The 17,130-nt window shown below is 51.9% G+C and overlaps 9 annotated features.

Moving 5' to 3' along the window:
* Positions 3,902–5,101: an enhancer, noted in NCBI's record as "MED14-independent group 3 enhancer chr1:30182040-30183239 (GRCh37/hg19 assembly coordinates)". NCBI's record gives its function as "activates an origin of replication core promoter dependent on BRD2, BRD4, P300/CBP and CDK7 cofactors, and independent of MED14, by STARR-seq in HCT116 cells {active_cell/tissue: HCT116}" and the evidence as "EXISTENCE:reporter gene assay evidence [ECO:0000049][PMID:35650434]".
* Positions 3,902–5,406: a biological region, named in NCBI's record as "MED14-independent group 3 enhancer GRCh37_chr1:30182040-30183239".
* Positions 4,218–4,811: an enhancer, noted in NCBI's record as "H3K4me1 hESC enhancer chr1:30182330-30182923 (GRCh37/hg19 assembly coordinates)". NCBI's record gives its function as "activates a minimal SCP1, AML or CMV promoter by ChIP-STARR-seq in primed H9 embryonic stem cells {active_cell/tissue: H9 hESC(primed)}" and the evidence as "EXISTENCE:reporter gene assay evidence [ECO:0000049][PMID:30033119]".
* Positions 4,233–4,332: an enhancer, noted in NCBI's record as "active region_613". NCBI's record gives its function as "activates an Ori minimal core promoter by ATAC-STARR-seq in GM12878 lymphoblastoid cells {active_cell/tissue: GM12878}" and the evidence as "EXISTENCE:reporter gene assay evidence [ECO:0000049][PMID:35858748]".
* Positions 4,812–5,406: an enhancer, noted in NCBI's record as "H3K4me1 hESC enhancer chr1:30181735-30182329 (GRCh37/hg19 assembly coordinates)". NCBI's record gives its function as "activates a minimal SCP1, AML or CMV promoter by ChIP-STARR-seq in primed H9 embryonic stem cells {active_cell/tissue: H9 hESC(primed)}" and the evidence as "EXISTENCE:reporter gene assay evidence [ECO:0000049][PMID:30033119]".
* Positions 6,782–7,282: an enhancer, noted in NCBI's record as "H3K4me1 hESC enhancer chr1:30179859-30180359 (GRCh37/hg19 assembly coordinates)". NCBI's record gives its function as "activates a minimal SCP1, AML or CMV promoter by ChIP-STARR-seq in primed H9 embryonic stem cells {active_cell/tissue: H9 hESC(primed)}" and the evidence as "EXISTENCE:reporter gene assay evidence [ECO:0000049][PMID:30033119]".
* Positions 6,782–7,296: a biological region, named in NCBI's record as "H3K4me1 hESC enhancer GRCh37_chr1:30179859-30180359".
* Positions 6,967–7,296: a silencer, noted in NCBI's record as "silent region_557". NCBI's record gives its function as "represses an Ori minimal core promoter by ATAC-STARR-seq in GM12878 lymphoblastoid cells {active_cell/tissue: GM12878}" and the evidence as "EXISTENCE:reporter gene assay evidence [ECO:0000049][PMID:35858748]".
* Positions 7,283–7,783: an enhancer, noted in NCBI's record as "H3K4me1 hESC enhancer chr1:30179358-30179858 (GRCh37/hg19 assembly coordinates)". NCBI's record gives its function as "activates a minimal SCP1, AML or CMV promoter by ChIP-STARR-seq in primed H9 embryonic stem cells {active_cell/tissue: H9 hESC(primed)}" and the evidence as "EXISTENCE:reporter gene assay evidence [ECO:0000049][PMID:30033119]".

The raw sequence follows: 17,130 nt of genomic DNA, 5'->3' as shown, positions 1-17,130 counted from the left end.
TAGAGCACAAGACAGATGGGCTCAGCACCCCCGAATTCCACCCAAAGCAGAAGTCCTTTCCCAGGGTTCTGGTGCAAAGCAACCCTCCAGGGGTGGGCATTTGGGAATAATTAATGCTTATATGTAAAATGGGTAACCGTCTGGGTATCCCTTAACCCAGTCAAGCTGACATCCCAAATCAACCATCACACATATTCACAGCAGCATTACTCACAATAGCCAGAAGGTGGAAGCAACTCAAGTGTCTGCCCATAGATGGATGAATGGATAAACAAAATTTGGCATGTACACACAATGGAATATTATTCAACCTAAAATAGGAAAGAAATTCTGACACAAACTACAAGATGAATGAAACTTGAGGACATTATAAGCAAAATAAGACAGCCACAAAAAGACAGATAGTATATGATTCCACTTCCATGAGGTACCTAGATGGAGTCAAATTCATAGAAACAGAGAGAAGAATGGTGGTTGCCAAGGTCTTGGGGGAGCAGAGAATGGGGAGTTAGTGTTTAATGGGTACAGAGTTTCAGTTTGGGAAGATGAAAAATTCTGGAGATGGTGGTGGTGATGGCTGTATAACAACATGAGTGTTCTTAATACTACTGAACTGTACATTTAAAAAAGGTTAAGATGGTATATTTCATTACATGTATTTTACTATAATTAATAATTTTTACTAATATATATGACAAAAGATGTATGTCCTAAAGCTTCTAGAACCACAAGACTATGATGGAGACACAACATTGAACAATCCAGAACTCTCAGACTAGCCAGGTCTCCTAGATTTTAACTCTCATCCTTTACTTGGAGAGGGAAACTAAAGCTCAGAGAGGCTGTGTGAGCTCCCTGAGGTTGCACAGCAGGTTAGGAGGAAAGTCAGACTCACACCTTGCCCCTTGCTCGTTCTCTCGATTCTGCACCTAGTTCCCCAGACACTGTCTCAAGTGGCTTCCAGAAAACATTTACCAGGACCCACATTTACATCAACACTCATGACTCCTGCACCAAGACCCAGAGGGCTCCAGGGCAGTCATTCTGGCTTGGTATTTGAGGACCCCTTCCCATGGTGCTCTGCATACTCCCAGGACCCTTCACTACCCCTGGACCCTGAAAACCTGGGCACCTCCTCTCCCCTTCATTTCCTATCAAGACCTCGTTTTATATCCCAGGCCTTCCTCCCCATCTGCCATATGCGACGCTTCCTTCGGCACATCCTCTGCATCCCACAGCTGCCTGCCACACTCTGGCGGAGAGGCAAGGCTGTGGGCTCACACGGGGGTTGAGGGCCCCCGTGATCACCCTCAGCCAGTGACAGCACACTGCAAGTGGACACCCAGGAGCAGCCTCAGCCACCAGGCCCTAGGAGGAGGGTGACACCTTTCAAGGAATCATGACTCTTTAGTGGCCACTGCCTTCCCATTCACCCACCCCTCCTTCTTAGCACAGATTACAGCCTCCACCTTGATGACTGTGATCTGATGAGGCTCTTCCTCTCTCCCCAAAATGTTGGAAAGGATGATGATCTGTGGGTCAGAGTCCTTGGTTCTACTGTTTACAGGCTATGAGACCCCAGGCAATCAAGTCCCCTCTCCAAGCCTCGGTTTCCTCATCTGTAAAATGGTGACACAAGTAATGAATCCTAGTGTGTATAACATTGGAATAGAATTATCAAGCAAAGTCCCAGACTCTTAGAAAGGGCTCAATAAGTGTTCACAATAAAGGTTTCTTCTCTCCTTCTTTCATTTCAGTGAACTAGGAAGAGCGTAAGTTTTGACATCAGGAAGTGCTGGGCATGAATCTTTGATCCACGACTTAGCGGCTATATGAACTTGGACAAGTTGCTTAACTTCTCTGAACTTGTTTCCTCTTTTGTTAAAACAAACAAAAACGGGTTCTCCTCTCATTGAGTTGTTTCATTGAATATTAAATGAGTTACAGCAAGCCAAGAGCCAGCAAGCCAGCACAGTGCCCAGTACATAGTAGGTGCTCAACACATGCCACCTAATCCCTCCCACCAGGTCCCCCTCCCTGCATCCTCTGCACAGACAAGCTGGGTCAATACCACATAAAACACCACATTGACCCCACTTGGCCTTTCTCTTCTGTTCCTGCCCCGCTGGCCACGCTGAATAGATTTCACGGCAGAAATGACTGTTTTTGCAGAAACTGATTGTGATGAAGCCTGAACACAATGATTCAGAGACCACAGGAAGTCGCTGCCAACACAGGCACTTACAGGAACAATGTCTATGGGGGAGCCTCCTGGAATCTTGGGGCAGGGAAGAACCTTCTCTGTCTTTAGGTCCCATGCCATGAAGTCCTGAGTGGGCTTCTGAAGCAGTGACCCTCTCAAGGGTCATCTCATGCTTAGCTCCCTGCAAGAACAGGGGAGGTAAAGAATATGGCTGGGGTCTCAGACAGACCCAGACTCCAGACCCAGCCCCTCCACCTACTTCCTGAGAGGACTTGGGTAAATCTTTTACCTTCTGGGGCACAACGTCCTTGCATTTCATAGCACTATGAATGACAGCCACGTCTGGGTTGTGGTGAGAACCAGATGGCTCAGCTCATAGAACATGCTCAGGGCCTGGCACCCATAGGTGTTAATAAACGGTAACAATTACTATTGAGATTTAAGTCCAGCATTCCTCCATTACTAGCTGTGTGGCCATGGGTCATCCCTCATATGTTCTGAGACTCTGCTTTACAATCTCAAAAAAGGGATGAACAGGCCGGGCGCGGTGGCTCACACCTGTAATCCCAGCACTTTGGGAGGCCGAGGCGGGTGGATCATGAGGTCAGGAGATCGAGACCATCCTGGCTAACAAGGTGAAACCCCGTCTCTACTAAAAATACAAAAAATTAGCCGGGCGCGGTGGCGGGCGCCTGTAGTCCCAGCTACTCGGGAGGCTGAGGCAGGAGAATGGCGTGAACCCGGGAAGCGGAGCTTGCAGTGAGCCGAGATTGCGCCACTGCACTCCAGCCTGGCGGACAGAGCGAGACTCCGTCTCAAAAAAAAAAAAAAAAAAAAAAAAAGGGATGAACATTCTTACCCCACAAGGCAATGGGACCTAAACCGCCTTGTACAGGGCTTGGCACATAGTAAGTGCTCACCATATGAGCAGTCCCTCTTCCTCCTTTCTCCCCTCTTCCTCCTGAGGCAGCCTATTATACCTGCTGGACATCTTTGAATTACAGAGAGTTCTAGAATTTATCCTTATTGGTCCTTAGCCTATGAAGTAGAAAAGAAACCAGCCAACTAGAATTGAGTCACAGATACCTAGGTGAGATGGTGTTTCCAGAGGGAAGAAGTGATCTCTGGGGTCAAATGCCGCTGAGAAGCCAAAGGCCACAAGGACAGAGACATGTCCACAAGGAGGAGGCATAGGAAGGGTATTTGTAACCTTGACAAGACAGAAATCAGACTGTAGTAGGCAAGAAATGATGGCAGTGGGGAGGAAGAAGATGGAGCCAGCTTCTGCAGGTAACTGGTTCAAGTGGAAGGGGGCACAGAAATCCACTTAGTTGGCTTCATAGAGTCAATGTAGTATGGGCAAGAAGAGAGAGGCTGGAGTTCCAAGTGCTAGCAGAAGGCAAGGCCTCTGCAGGGGCAGAAAAGTGTGTTCCAGGGTGTCTGGGGAGGGTGGTGGAGAAGGTAGGCCTGACTCGATGCGCTGACTGCACCTGTAGAGGCTTCCCCACCCCCAGACTTTCCCTCCCCATTCCATCGTGTTCCTTCTTTTCTTCCAAAAACCAGCTCAAAAGTTTCCTCCTTGAGCATGTTCTTCCTGAGCCACCTCCCTTCAGCCTTGCCTGGCAGCCCGGTGAGGACAGGAGCATGAGGTTTGGAAATAGTTCTAGACTAAATCTCCTTTCTCCCTTCACTAGTAATGAGCCCTTACTCAAGTCCCTTGACAAGTTCCAGTTTTCTTGTCTGTAGAATGGGGCAGCCCCCAGGCTCCTTTTCAAGATCAAATGAAAAATCAAGTGGAAAAAGAGCTCTGCAAACAGCAAACTAGTGCCTGAGCACTGGCTAATGGCTCCACCTGTCTCCCTTTGCGGTGTCCCTTCTGCAAGCTGGAGTGTGATTTGTGTTTTCCTTCCTATGTTTCATGATCGCCTTCCATGCAGAAACTGGCACCTAAGAACTGCTCAGACAGCAGGAGGGCCATGGAATGAGCTCACCACGTGAAAGCAGCTAGCTTACCCTACCGGATGGGGCACACATCTTAGGCTGTGCTGAGATTCAAAGAGTCACTATAGCCACACAGTTGGGGCATGCTGGGGCAAGCAAAGACTTGAACCTAAGCTTTTGGTACCCATGCTCTTTGTGATATTGGGAAATCCAGGCACAGCTTTTGAAAGGTGAAATTTCAGCATCCGGGCAGCCAGGGGAGGCAGCTGTTTCGTGGCTCTGCCTCGGCCCCCTCCAACAGGCCCATCCCAGTTGCTGAAAGATCCAGCATAGTTTTAGTTAAGATTCTGAGCCCAGGAGGGAAGCAGGAAATGATTCATTTTCTCCCTCAGCCAACGTACACAAAGGTACATTATTAATATTTACTCGGGGGCTTCTCCAAGGACCACAACAGCAAATCATAGGAGAGGAGGAAATGGAAGATGAGCTTCACTAGGTCTGCCAGCTGCCTACATGTGGGGTGAAGGGGCCCTGCCGACCATGCTACCTGGCACAGCCCCCACCAGTGCTGGGCCTAGACGGGGCCTTGAGGTTCATTCTCTCCAACCCAGAGAGGGAAGGGGACTCACCCACAGTGACTCAGCAAGGTCACCACAGAGGAGGGAACAGAATCTGGGAATGTGGAGGGATGGACCAAGCTGTGAGCCTCAGGGCCCTCGTCTGCAAAATGAGGAAATAAACACTGCCCAGGCAGTTTTGAAGGAAGATGTAAAAGAACGACCCACAGCATCTGGCCAAGAACAGGGGCTCCACAAATAACATCAACGTGAGTGCTAATGAGGACATCGGTGACAGGGCCTGCCCCCATTTCCCAGCCTGCTTTGCAATAGCCCCGGGCACCCCTTCCTGGGAAAGCATCCCTCTCCCCAGGCTGGGCTGGGCTAATGAAAACCAGGCTGAGAGAGTATCAGTTACTCTGCACAGGAAATGGTCCCTCTTCGTCTTTCTAAGATCTCCTTTCACAGGGGCCAGGCAGTAGCCGTCTGCACCCTGCTGTTCTCCAGAAGACCAAGCCCTACTCAGGCTCAGCAGCCACCCTTGCCCCTTTCTGTGGCCCACTCTGTGTCATCGTCTGAGGAATGGGGCCCAGATGTGGTTTTTTTCCACCTGGCAGACACCTGCTGACAGCTTCTGTCGCTTGGCGGCTGTAATTGCAGTGCTCTCTCCCCTTTATGCCCTGCTAGGCACAGACTCCATCTGCCTCTGCCAGGGAGTTTATTAAATAGTTTATTAAATCTCTCTGCTTTTGCTTGCAAACTGTCTCTTTTAGAGATGAAAAAATACCGAGACCCAAAGAGCTAAAGTGAATTTCCTGAAGGCCCCACAGCTAGAAAAAGACTGAGCTGGGAGTTTGTGGGTGACTCTGATTCTGGCTGGTGCCCCCACCCCTGCTCCAAGTCCCTTCTGAGTTCCCACTGCATCTGCAAAACCAGATCCTTACACAAAAGCCCCTCTCCCCTGCAGCTGAGCAGATACTGTCACTTGTGACTCAAGCAGCCCTGATTCCCATGAGGAAGAGCAACTTCCTGATGCTCAGAGATGCCCAGAGCCAGATGGGCTCTGACCTCAGAAGGCAGATCACTGAGGTCCTTGGGAGGGCAGGAAACCTGCAGTGCTGGGGCCCAGGCCCTGAACCCTGGTGGCTGGGGTGTTCTGGGGCCTCTCTCCTAATTAACCTCCTCTCCGCTGTGTTTTCTCCCTCCTGCTCCACGTCCCTTTCTTCCTCATCTCCCAAACCCAGCCCCTCCTGGGATCATCCATTCATCCCTCAGGCATCATGTATAGTCCACTTGTGGCTGTTCATCCACTGGGCTGGCCACACTGGGAACGCAGAGAGGGACAAGACCGTGTCCCTGTCCTCAGGAAGCCTCCAGTCTGGCTGGAGAAACAGACACAGAATCAATCACAGCCCAGCCTGGCCACTGCTGATGGGGGAAGATGCGCGAGGGGCTGGCGAGCTAGGGGCAGGCAAGGCCCTGGACATGGAGACAGGGAGGACTTCTGGGAGGAGGTGGTGTCTGCGCTGAGACCTGAAGGAGAAGTGGGGGAGCCAGGGGAAGGCGCTCGCTAGGGGGGAGAAGGTTACTGTGGGTGGCAGCAGCCAGGCACAGGCACGGCACTGGCAGAGAAAGGGGGAGCCTGGCACCCTTGGAAATGGTAGGCAGCTCTGCGTAGCCAGAGCAGGGTGGGGAGGAGGAAGAGGAGGGTGGGGAGGTGCAGAAAGATGGGGCTGGGGTCCACCTGGGTCAGACCACAGAGGGCGTAGGGAGGGCTACAGGAGGAAGTGACCTCTGTAAGCATCGGGGAGAGGGTGTTCCAAGAGGATCTGGGCTCCTCAGATCCCCCAAATGGTGGGGAGGGGAGAAGGCTTCTATCTTCCTCCCTCCCTCTGGCCTTCTGTGTCTCTCTCTCCCACCCCCATCTTTCCCCCTCTCTGTGTCCCTCCTTCTCTCCCCCGTCCCCCCTCCCTCCTCCCCTCCCCTCTCTTCCCCTCCCCTCCCTCTCCTCTCCTGCCTCCCCTCCCCTCCCCTCCCCTCCCCTCTCCTCCCCTCCCCTCTCTTCCCCTCCCCTCCCCTCTCTTCCCCTCCCCTCCCCTCCCCTCCCCTCCCCTCTCTTCCCCTCCCCTCCCCTCTCTTCCCCTCCCCTCCCCTCTCCTCCCCTCCCCTCTCTTCCCCTCCCCTCTCCTCCCCTCCCCTCCCCTCTCCTCCTCTCCTCTCCTCTCCTTCCCTTATACTCCCCTTTCCCCCATTTCTCTCCCTCCCTCCTTCCCTCCCCACTCCCCTCCTCTCTGCAGACCCCTCCCCACCTCCTCCCGGCCCCGCCCAGCCGCGCTAGTGCGGCCCTGCGCCGCCACCTTCAGGCCGTGGCCGGGAGCGGTGCGGCACCCCCAACAACACCCACAAGGAGGAGGTGCGGGCCCGGGTCCCGCCCTAGAGGTGGTGGAGGTCCCGCCCCGACCGTCCTGGGGCCGCCCCTCCCCGCAGCCTGGGCTCTGCCTGCTCTGCGCCCACGCTGGCATCAGCCCCAGCTGGCTCCGTCTCCACTAACGACCCTAATTACCAGCCAAGCTCGGCTCCCCAGGGCCCAGGCGCCAGAACTGATGACTTTAATAACAGAATCCCTTCCCTTTCACGGCCTGCTCCGGGGACCACCGGCCTGAGGATGCAGCGATCTCTGCTGTCCTGGGAGGGCGGGCCACATGGGGGTTCTACACCGTCTTACACATGGGGAAGGGGCTCGGCCTGGCCAATATGGTGAAACCCCGTCTCTACTACAAGTACAAAAATTAGCCGGGCATGGTGGCACATGCCTGTAATCCCAGCTACTCAGGAGGCTGAGGCAGGAGAATCACTTGAACCCGGGAGGCGGAGATTGCAGTGAGCTGAGATAGCGCCACTGCACTCCAGCCTGGGCGGCAGAACAAGGCTCTACCTCCAGAAAAAGAAAAAGAGAAAGAAAAAGAAAAGAAAAGAAAGATAGTAGTTACAAAGATGAACGATCCTTTATCACAAACCCTTGTAGTACAGCACATCTCCCCATGATGTTTTATCTTCTATACAAATAAGCATTGTACCTAGGTTGGGCACGTTCCTCCTCTTACCTTCGGGAACACCCTGCTGTGCCTATGGAGCAGCTACTGTTTATTCTTTTACTTGCCTAATAAACTTGCTTTTCTTTACTCTGTGGACTCTCCCAATTTTTTCTTGTGTGAGGTCCAAGAATCCTCTCTTAGGGTCTGGATCAGGACCCCTATCCCTTAACAAAATGACAGTGGGGTGACAGTTTTCACGCTGGGTGATTGGAGCTATGACACTGGCCTGTGACAATTCCTGTGGGAGCCCAGAGAAGGTGCTGGCACACCGGGCGGGGGGGGGGGGGCTTCCAGAAGGGTGAGGGAGGGGGCTCTGAACTGGCTTCACAGAGTGGGTGGCATCTGAGCAGGTTCATCCAGATGGAGTAAGAGTTTGCAGGGGAAAGATGATGGGAAGGGCATTCCAGGCAGGGGAGAGGTACCCAGAGGTGTGGAATCTGGAAAGAGCAGAGGCTTTCAGAGATAGGGAGTTTTGTGTGGCTGAAGACGGAGGGGAAACCGGTGGGTTAGGCTGGGGGAGCATCAGAGGTCAGATGAGGAAAGGTATCGGGGACCTTCTTCACCAGGCATGAGGGAGACGAGGTAGAAAGTAATCGTAACATTAACAGCCACAGCTAACCCTCACTGAGGGCTTCCCATCTGCCAGGAACATCCTGAACACTCTAGACACTTCGTTCACTGATCTTAAGGGGAAGGCACATTATCACTGCCTCTATTTTATGGAGACAAACAGGCAGCAAGAGGTTAAGTCTCTTGACCTAAGTCATTGGTGAGGGAGGAGGCCAGGGTGCCATCTTGGTCTTGGGCTGATGGTGCCATTCGGACACCCACTCACTCAGAGAAGAAATACCTACTGCAAGCCTGCTCAGACTTTCTCCCTGCCCTCAGGTAGCTGACACTTCAGTGTAGATGGATGATTCCTGGGAAGCCATGTAAACACACAGCTAAAGAAGATCATTTCAGGCAGTAAGAAATACCATGAGAAAAACCCAACAGGGAGAGGAGTCAAGGGACTAGGGTGTGGGTCCAAAGGAAGAACTCCTCCCATAGGCTCAACTTCTAGGACATACCTGGCAGCCCTTCCCCTCTAAGGACCTCCCTTCCCCTCCTGGACACTGTGGGGGCTGCAAGGAGAGTTTCTGATGGCCCACCTCTGGGAAAATGCTTCTCAAGACCCCTCTTCTTTCTCGCTAGTCTCCTTCTGCTTCAAGCACTGGCTTCCAACCATCTCCCTTGGGGATACCTCAGGTTAACGGCCAAGAAAAGCAACGTTTTTGGCTTCCCCTGCCAAAGGCCAGGGGTGGGAAGGGACATCTCTGACCCTTGGAAACATAGCCTTGACTTCTCTCTTCATGGGAGAGTAAGGAAGAGTTTCCCTACCTTATGCTGTTTGGTTTCCCACAGGTAGTCCCATGCTACCTATAAAATATTAGACACAGAGAATCTTAGAGCAATCAAGCCTTAGATCCTCAGACTTAGCATCAAATTATAGACTCTGAGACTCTTAGAATCATGGAATGTTAGAAATCGAACACGTTAAATGGCATGATAAAATTATGGAAGTTTTAGAATTAAAAAACAAGATCTTGAAAGTCTCAGAACCCTAGGATTTTAGAATTTGGAGTTGAAAGGAACTCCTGGCTCCATCATTAACAGCTGATGTCTTTGAGCATTGATTTATTCTCTGTGCCTCAGTTTCCTTTCTGTTAAAAGGGAATAATAACAATTTGTGACTGACAGCGTTGCTATGAAGAGTCAATGAGTTATTATATGTGGAGAGCTGAGCCCAGTGCCAGGCACTCAGTGAGCTGTGAGCTGTACTAATGCTCTTACAACTAATCTAATTCACCTTCCTTTGTAATACGGTTTAACTGGTTACCCACCCCTCCACCCACCTAGCTTCTGTGTAGGAGGCCATGCAACTTAGACTAGATTCCCTCCTAATATGAGATGTTTATTTCCATTGGAAGCAACCTTTATCATTCCAAAACCTGCTGTCCTGTCACTTCCTGCCTCTCTTGTCCCAGTACTGTCCTCTATAGGCAGAGACTCCCTCTCCTCAATGGCTACACAGCCATTGGGAGCTCAGCCTGCTCAGCCTCTCCTCCTAGATGGCCAGGTGGAGGTGGTGCAATTTGTCTGGAAGCCTCCCCCATCCCCATTCTCTTTTCTTCTTTTCTCAGTATCCTCTGGCCCTCCCCCAATTCCTAGGTTTCCTAGGAGCTCCAATATCCTGCTTTCCACAGACAAAAGCATCCATTAATCCCCCTGAGGTCAGAGGGGCTGTGCACTTTGCAAAGGAAGCCTGCAGAAAAAGGCATCATTCAACCTAAAGCCTCAGTGTAGGTGGATGATCCCTGGGAAGCCATGTAAACACACAGCTGAAGAAGATCATTTCAGGCAGTAAGAAATACCAGGAGAAAAACCCAACAGGGAGAGGGGTCAGAGCTCAGGGGTCACCTGGGGCATGACAGATCATGGGATCTGTCGATGGTGGGAGCTCAGGGGCCAACCCGGGGCATGACAGATCAATGGATTTGAGCAGAGGGAGTTTAGAGTGCCCCTACCCCAGAACGACAGCACCTGAAAGCTGCCCACTTTGCTTGGGTGCTCTCCTTCCTTCCGGGTGCTTGGCATCTCTGAGGGAAGGAACCATCGCCCAGACCGTTGCCCGGGTGAGGCTGCACACACAGATCTGCACTAATGGTCGGATGCAACCTGCAGCAATGACTGAATATCCAGCACCAATAATTCCCCAGCTTTGCCACTAGGGGCTCCAGGAAGGAGCAGCAGCAAGGAAGCTGGACATCTGCAAGGCTCCCATCACTTCCCAAAGGGCACTTTATGGTTGGGCAGAAGAATGGGCATCTTTCTCCCAAATGGCCTTGCAACTGCTAGGGCATACTTGGGCTCTTTCAGTTAAAACACTGGTCTGCGGAGAGAGATATCAATAAGTAGAAATTAGCTTATTTCTGGAAATTGAGTGAGAAGGGAGTCTGGGCTGGTTTTGTGTTTTAAACTATTTCTCTTTTCATCCTACCTCTCTGCCTCTGATGCCAACGCCCTGAGGGCAGAAGTGGAGTTGACAGGACCAGAAGTCTCGAGCCAGGCCCCGGCAGTCAGCAGAGAGACCCAACCAGGCCTGGGGCCTCTGCAATGGCCGAGGACATCAAGCCTAGCCTCAGTGAGGACACCAACAGAGCTGGGCTCTAATGGTGGGAAAGAAGGTGCAGGATGGAGAGAGGCTCAAGAGGGGGAAGAACAACCTATGTTCCAGCCCCTCTTTCCCTGCCCCACACCTCTTTATGCTGCAGGTGCAATCGCTTGTCCCTGCTCCTCAGGCGTGCTGGGCCCCTCCAGACCATGCTCCTTTGCACATGCTGTTCCTCTGCCACGAATGTCCTTCCCAGCCACATACCTCCTCCTCCATGCAGTCTTCTCAAGCTGCTCTCCTCCAACCCCAACTCCACCCCACGCACCCACCTCAAGCTTTATTCTTCTAAGGCCTCTTCCAGCTCCAGGTCTTCATACTCTTAGAAGCTCCTTTCTCCATCAGATCAAACATATCAAGATTGCACATTAAATCAGTGTATGTATATAACTACATAAGAGCCAAGGAGAGCACAAAGTGACAGTTGATGATGTTACATTTTGCAGAGATTTAATTAAACATGTCAATTTGAAGGTTGTATCTTTCTGTTTGTATTTGAATCTCATAACTTTTTTCAGGCCTTAAACATGTTGATAGGGCCGAATGAGCTTTAGTGCCTCTGTAGATGGGGATTCAGATGAGCTCAGCATCCTGGGGTCTTAGAGGTGGCAGAGAGCCCTGAAGTCATCTTTCTACTCTAGATTTTTCAGGGCAAGATGGAGAGTCAGGGACAGAGAGAGGCGAATGTGTCTGAGGTCACAGAGAAGATCATGGTAGGTCCAAGAGAAGGAATTGGGAACACCTGATCCAAGTCCAAGGCCACATCTCCCACAGTTTACTGTGTGGACTGGGGCCAAGGACTTTTGGCCTGGCCTACCCTCTAAAGTGGACCCGAGAATCAAACCAAATCCAAATATTGCAGTAGCTGCTGTGTTCTGGGTGGTCCCCATGCATGAGCCCTGATGCTAAGCAGTGTGTGTGTCTTTCCCCATTTCTCCCTCTCAACTTTCAGTGAGGCAGGTGCCATTATTGTCTGTCTCTCCTTGCAGAGAAGACCACTCGGTGAGGCTCAGAGAAGAGAAAAGACCAGCCAAAAAAAAAACCCTGCCGGGCACATGGCAGAGCTAGGAGTCCATCCCAGACAGTGTAGGGCTAGAGCCTCCAAGCCACCCCTGTTCTATGAGCCCCAGGCAGAGAGAAAAGGAGGGAAGGTGGTGGGAGGGGAGAGGAGAGAGGCTCCTTCCCTTGGATGTCTGGGGGAGATCCAGGCCATGGTCTGGCACATGCCGCAGCACATCCTGTGGGTTCATGTGTTCAGATGGCCTGACCCTCTACAGGGAGCATCATGGCATGGGCTTGAACATGCCAGATACGCCTTAGCCCTGAGCAAGCCCTCTGTCCCCAGGGTCCCAGGGAAGGCAAACTGCTCCACAGACCTAGCTGAGTGCAGCAAAAACAGGACAGCAGAAGGGATAACACCATCAGATGGACCTGGGCTGAATCCCAGCGCCACCATGTCCTGACGGCTGAAACGTGGGCAAAGCTCTGCCTTCCCTGAGCCCCAGCTTCTGAATCTGCAAAACGGACACAGTGTCTAACCACCACCTTGTAGTATTGTTGGGGACTTGAAGTAAAATGAGATAGAGGAGGAAACTGGTGCTCAGAGATGTTAAGACAGGTGCCCGGGGCTCACACAACTGGTAAGCTGTGAAGCCGGAATGCAGGCTTTACTGTCCTCTGTTCTAGTCTTCGCTCCCCAACTTACAAGCCATAGGACCAGTGAATTTACCTTCTTTTTTTGAGATGGAATCTCGCTCTGTCGCCCAGGCTGGAGTGCGGTGGCGCGATCTCGGCTCACTGCAACTTCTGCCTCCCAGGTTCAAGCAATTCTCCTGCCTCAGCCTCCTGAGTAGCTGGGATTACAGGCATGCACCACCATGCCCAGCTAATTTTGTATTTTTTAGTAGAGATGAGGTTTCACTACATTGGCCAGGCTGGTCTCGAACTCCTCACCTCGTGATCCGCCCACCTCAGCCTCCCAAAGTGCTGGGATTACAGGTGTGAGCCACTGCGCCCAACTTGATTTTACCTTCTAAGCCTCAGTTTTCTCATCTGTGAAATGTAGATAATGATACTGTCTTGCAGGTTTTCCTTTGGTATTTGCAATCTTGTGTTTAAATTGTCTGGTACCCAGTAACATCCATGACCTGGTAGTTAAAATGATGGTGATGATGGTGATGATAATAAACAGGTTGGATTGAGCAGAATTAATAGGGAGAAGAGAGTTGATTAAGGGAATTCCTGTCCCCACCAGGAGAAGGAATAGGCTGATTATCTACTGATGCTCCCACTGCCCATCCCTCTTCTTCCTCCTACCCCTCACCACCAGCTCCAGGAAGCTTATGAGGGACACTTGTGGGGAGGGCAGCTACTTCCCCTGTGAACTTTGGCTGCTATTCTTCCTCACAAAGAAGATTCATCAGTCATTACAGGCATGAGAAGTATGACTGGTTCTGCTCTCCATGGAAGTGGGGGCTGGAGAGATGAGAACAGGGAGGGTGAGGTAGGTATGGGCAGTTGGATGGCAGGTGGGGCTTGGCTTGTTAGTGGGTGACCCTGCAGCAGTCCTGCTGTGAGCACAGGCTCTTTCCCAATCTAATTAGCATTGCTGAGAATTCAACTACACAGCCCTGAAGTGAGTTTGCTTCCCCAAGAGCATTCCAGAACGAATACTGATTAAATATGAAACAGTTCCTCCCTTCAGGGCTAAGTCTAGAAGGCACAAATCAGAAATGGGAGCTGTAATTATTAGCTCTGATTTTAAGTAATAGAATAGAATAGAATACAATAGAATAGAATAGAATAGAATAGAATAGAATAGAATAGAATAGAATAGAATAGGAGGATAGAATCCAATCTTCCCATCCCACAAGTAAAAACAACCAACAATATTCCGAGTTATTTCTGCTCTATTTAAAGGAGCATGAGCTTTTTTATTCTTTGCTCCTTCCCATTGTTATCTTTCTGCTTTTTCATCCGGGTGATTTGCTGTGTACCTACTATGTGCCCGGCATATATGGATGCAAGGGTAAGAAATAAACAAGTCAGACTAGGTGCCCGCTCTTCTGGGGCTCACAGTCAAGAGGGGGATGTGACCTTTTAAAAAAAAAGTCCCAACAGATTAGTGCAACTCACCTGAGGATGGGCCAAGTATGCCATGCACAGGAGGATGCTGAGAGGGACTAACTCAACTACGGGATGGTTGAGTGTCTTAGGAGCTGATATTTAAATTGAGGACTGAATGGCTTTTGCACTTGTTCCCTCTGCCTGGAATGCTCCTCCTCAGACATCCACAGGGCTCCCCACTTAACCTCCTTTAAGTCTGCAAAAACATTTGTGTTAACCGCAACTCCCCACATTCCTGGGCCCCTTCCCTGCTTTATTTTTCTCCATTGCACTTGTCCTTGTGTTACCAATACATTTAATCTAGATGTTTATTGCCCATCTCTGCCTATTAGAAGATAAGTTTTCTGAGGCCAGAAATTGTTGTTTCTCTCTGTTCTATACCCAGTACCTGGCACAGAGCAGGGACTCATTCAATATATGTTGAATGACTGAATGACATCATTAGTCATGCTTTGCTTTGTTCTGTTTCTTAAGAGACAAGGTCTCACTTTGTAGCCCAGGCAGGAGTCATGCTATGGAGCACAGACCTTATCCTTAGAGCAAAGAGGGGCGATCCCAGGATCTTAAGGAGGTATGTGGCCAAGCTGGTTTAGAAAGATCTTGCTGCATGAATTGCAGGAGACGAGAGGCTAGGAGGTCCCACAGGAGTGTGCTGAAGGAGGTGTGGACCAGTGTTGTGATGGGGGAGATGCCTGGAAGGGAATGGAAGGAGGAATAAAAAAAAAAGATGATACCCTGGGGGGTCTTAGCACCCAAAGGGCGCCGTGGGTTTTGAGAATGTGGTTCAGGGGATCCAGAGTTAAAGCCCAAGTTCTCGACATTGGTGAGCAGCCAGGAAGGGAGGTGGCAGAGTGGCCGCCAGGGCACAGAGGGGTTCAGATGTAGTCAGACTGCAACGGAGCAGCCTGTGGCCATCCAGACCCCACCACAGAGCCCGGAGATAACCAACAGGATGAGGACTGAGCCAGAAACGGGGAGGCAGGAGATGAATGATGTATTAGGCCTCACAGGAGGCACACATATCTTCCTCCCTGTGCGAAAGCTTCCCTGATTTTCATCAAAAACAAGCAGGGGAGAGGAGGATGCGTGGATTTGTAATGAGCCCTGACACATCACCTGGTTACAGATCTCACAGCCCGGCTGATCCTCCCAGACCCAGCTACAACGACCCGGGCCCCGCCATGGCCTATAACAGAGCACATGCCCTTGGTGGGAAAGCCAGCCCCTCCGGCTGTCCCTTCCCAGGGGCAGGGGCAGGAGCAGGGCCAGTGTGGGGGTGGGGCTCAGCCCCAGCCAGAGGGCTCTGGTTGCCATGGAAATGGGTGGTCCTGAGCAGAGCCCCCTCAGCCAGGCTCCAGCATCCAGAGCAAGGGCGCAGTTAGCCTCGGCCCCCGGGTTCCGTGACCACTGTTCCCACTGTGCAGGTGGAAGCAACCAGCCCCTTCAGAACCCCCAAGACAGAGGATTCAGGTACCTTCTGGAGCAGCCTTCGTCCACCATCAAGGTCCTGCTCGCAGAGACGAGCAGAGCCCAGGCTCAGCTGGGCGCCTTTAGGTCTAGAGACCTCAGCTACTGGGGCTGAAAATGGAGGCCTCTGAGATGAGCCCAGAAGGAACCAGGACTGAACTTATGATGACCTAGAGGCTTCTGTGGCTCCATCTGTTCCTTTTCTGGGGGAGAGCTGAGGCTCTGAGGGGTGGGTAGTGCCCCCACAGTCCCCTGGGTCAGCTTCTCCCTGGTCTCCAAGGCTCCCAACCCTGGCCAAGCCTTTAGGGCCTTCTGCCATGTCCTGCCTCCCTCCCACGCAGGCCGACTCCAGCTTGGCCACGTCCATCTAGACCAGGGTCTTCTGGCTTCCTGAGTGACAGCCCAGGCTCAGCTGCTATGAGACATAAACCACCCCCAGCCCCGCCCTGCTCCTCCACTCCCTCCCTGCTCCTCCACTCCCTCCCTGCGGCTGGGTCTGGGAACACCAAGCCTGTGAGCCTCCTTGTGGGGAAGTGGGGAAGGGCAGTATTTTGGGCAGAGTTTAGGTTTTTCACAGAGGACATTTTTGGTGCCCAGAGGGAAGATACAGGGAGAGTCACAGCACAAAGTCCTTCGAGTCAGCATGGGGTGTGGACGCCATCCCAAGACCTGTGAGAGCCACGGAAGGGGGTCAGACCCAGAAGCAATGTGACCATCCTATATTTGGGATGATCACTCTATCTAGTGGCTGGGGTGGCTGATCCAATGGTTCCCAGCATTTGTGCAGCCCAAAGCAACAGAACTCATGGAGACCCACAGGCCAGCAAACTAAACATGGAATTATCAACCAAGCTAACAAAATGCCAAATAAACAAATTCTATCCTCCTACCTCAACGAATTATCCAGCTCCTCATTGGAATGTGGGAGCGGAGAAAGCTGGCCTTGACTCCTGATCCCTGATCCAGCCTAGGCCCAGCCCCCACCTCACCTCCCCTCCTGCAGCCCAGCTCCACACCACAGTCTCACACGGTGTGCGACACCCCACCCTGCAAGTCTACGCTCTGTCCATCCCTCCTCACACACAGCTGCACGTCGAAGTCTTCATGTGGGCACACTGGCACAGAGAAGAGGCCACGTGGGTCCTGGGGCCGGAGTATCAGGAGCTGGGGCAGGCCCTTCTAAACCCGGGACCCCCTTACTCAGGCCTCGGGGTGTGCAGGGTAGATGGATTTTAGGACAGGTGGGGCAGAGGGACCAGTAGGAGGGCATGAGGATGTCTGGGTCAGAAACCACCAGGGTCTGAGACAGGGCAGGGGAGGAGGGATTCCAGAGGGGTAAGACAGGACTGGACGGTGCCCGAGGTGTGAGGAGAGGGCGAGTCGGGGATGCCCGCTTGTTTCTGATTAGGGTGAGCAGGGGCTGCAGGGCACGAGGCTGAGGAGCAGTTTGATGGGAAGGTGAAGGTTCGGCTTTGAATGTTTTCAGTGGAAGGAGGCCGTGGGCTGCCAGGCGGACAGCAGCTTCAGGAG

Source organism: Homo sapiens, chromosome 1 (genome assembly GCF_000001405.40).
Source record: "Homo sapiens chromosome 1, GRCh38.p14 Primary Assembly".
Lineage (NCBI taxonomy): Eukaryota > Metazoa > Chordata > Mammalia > Primates > Hominidae > Homo > Homo sapiens.
This window is presented reverse-complemented; position numbering and strand designations above follow the sequence as displayed.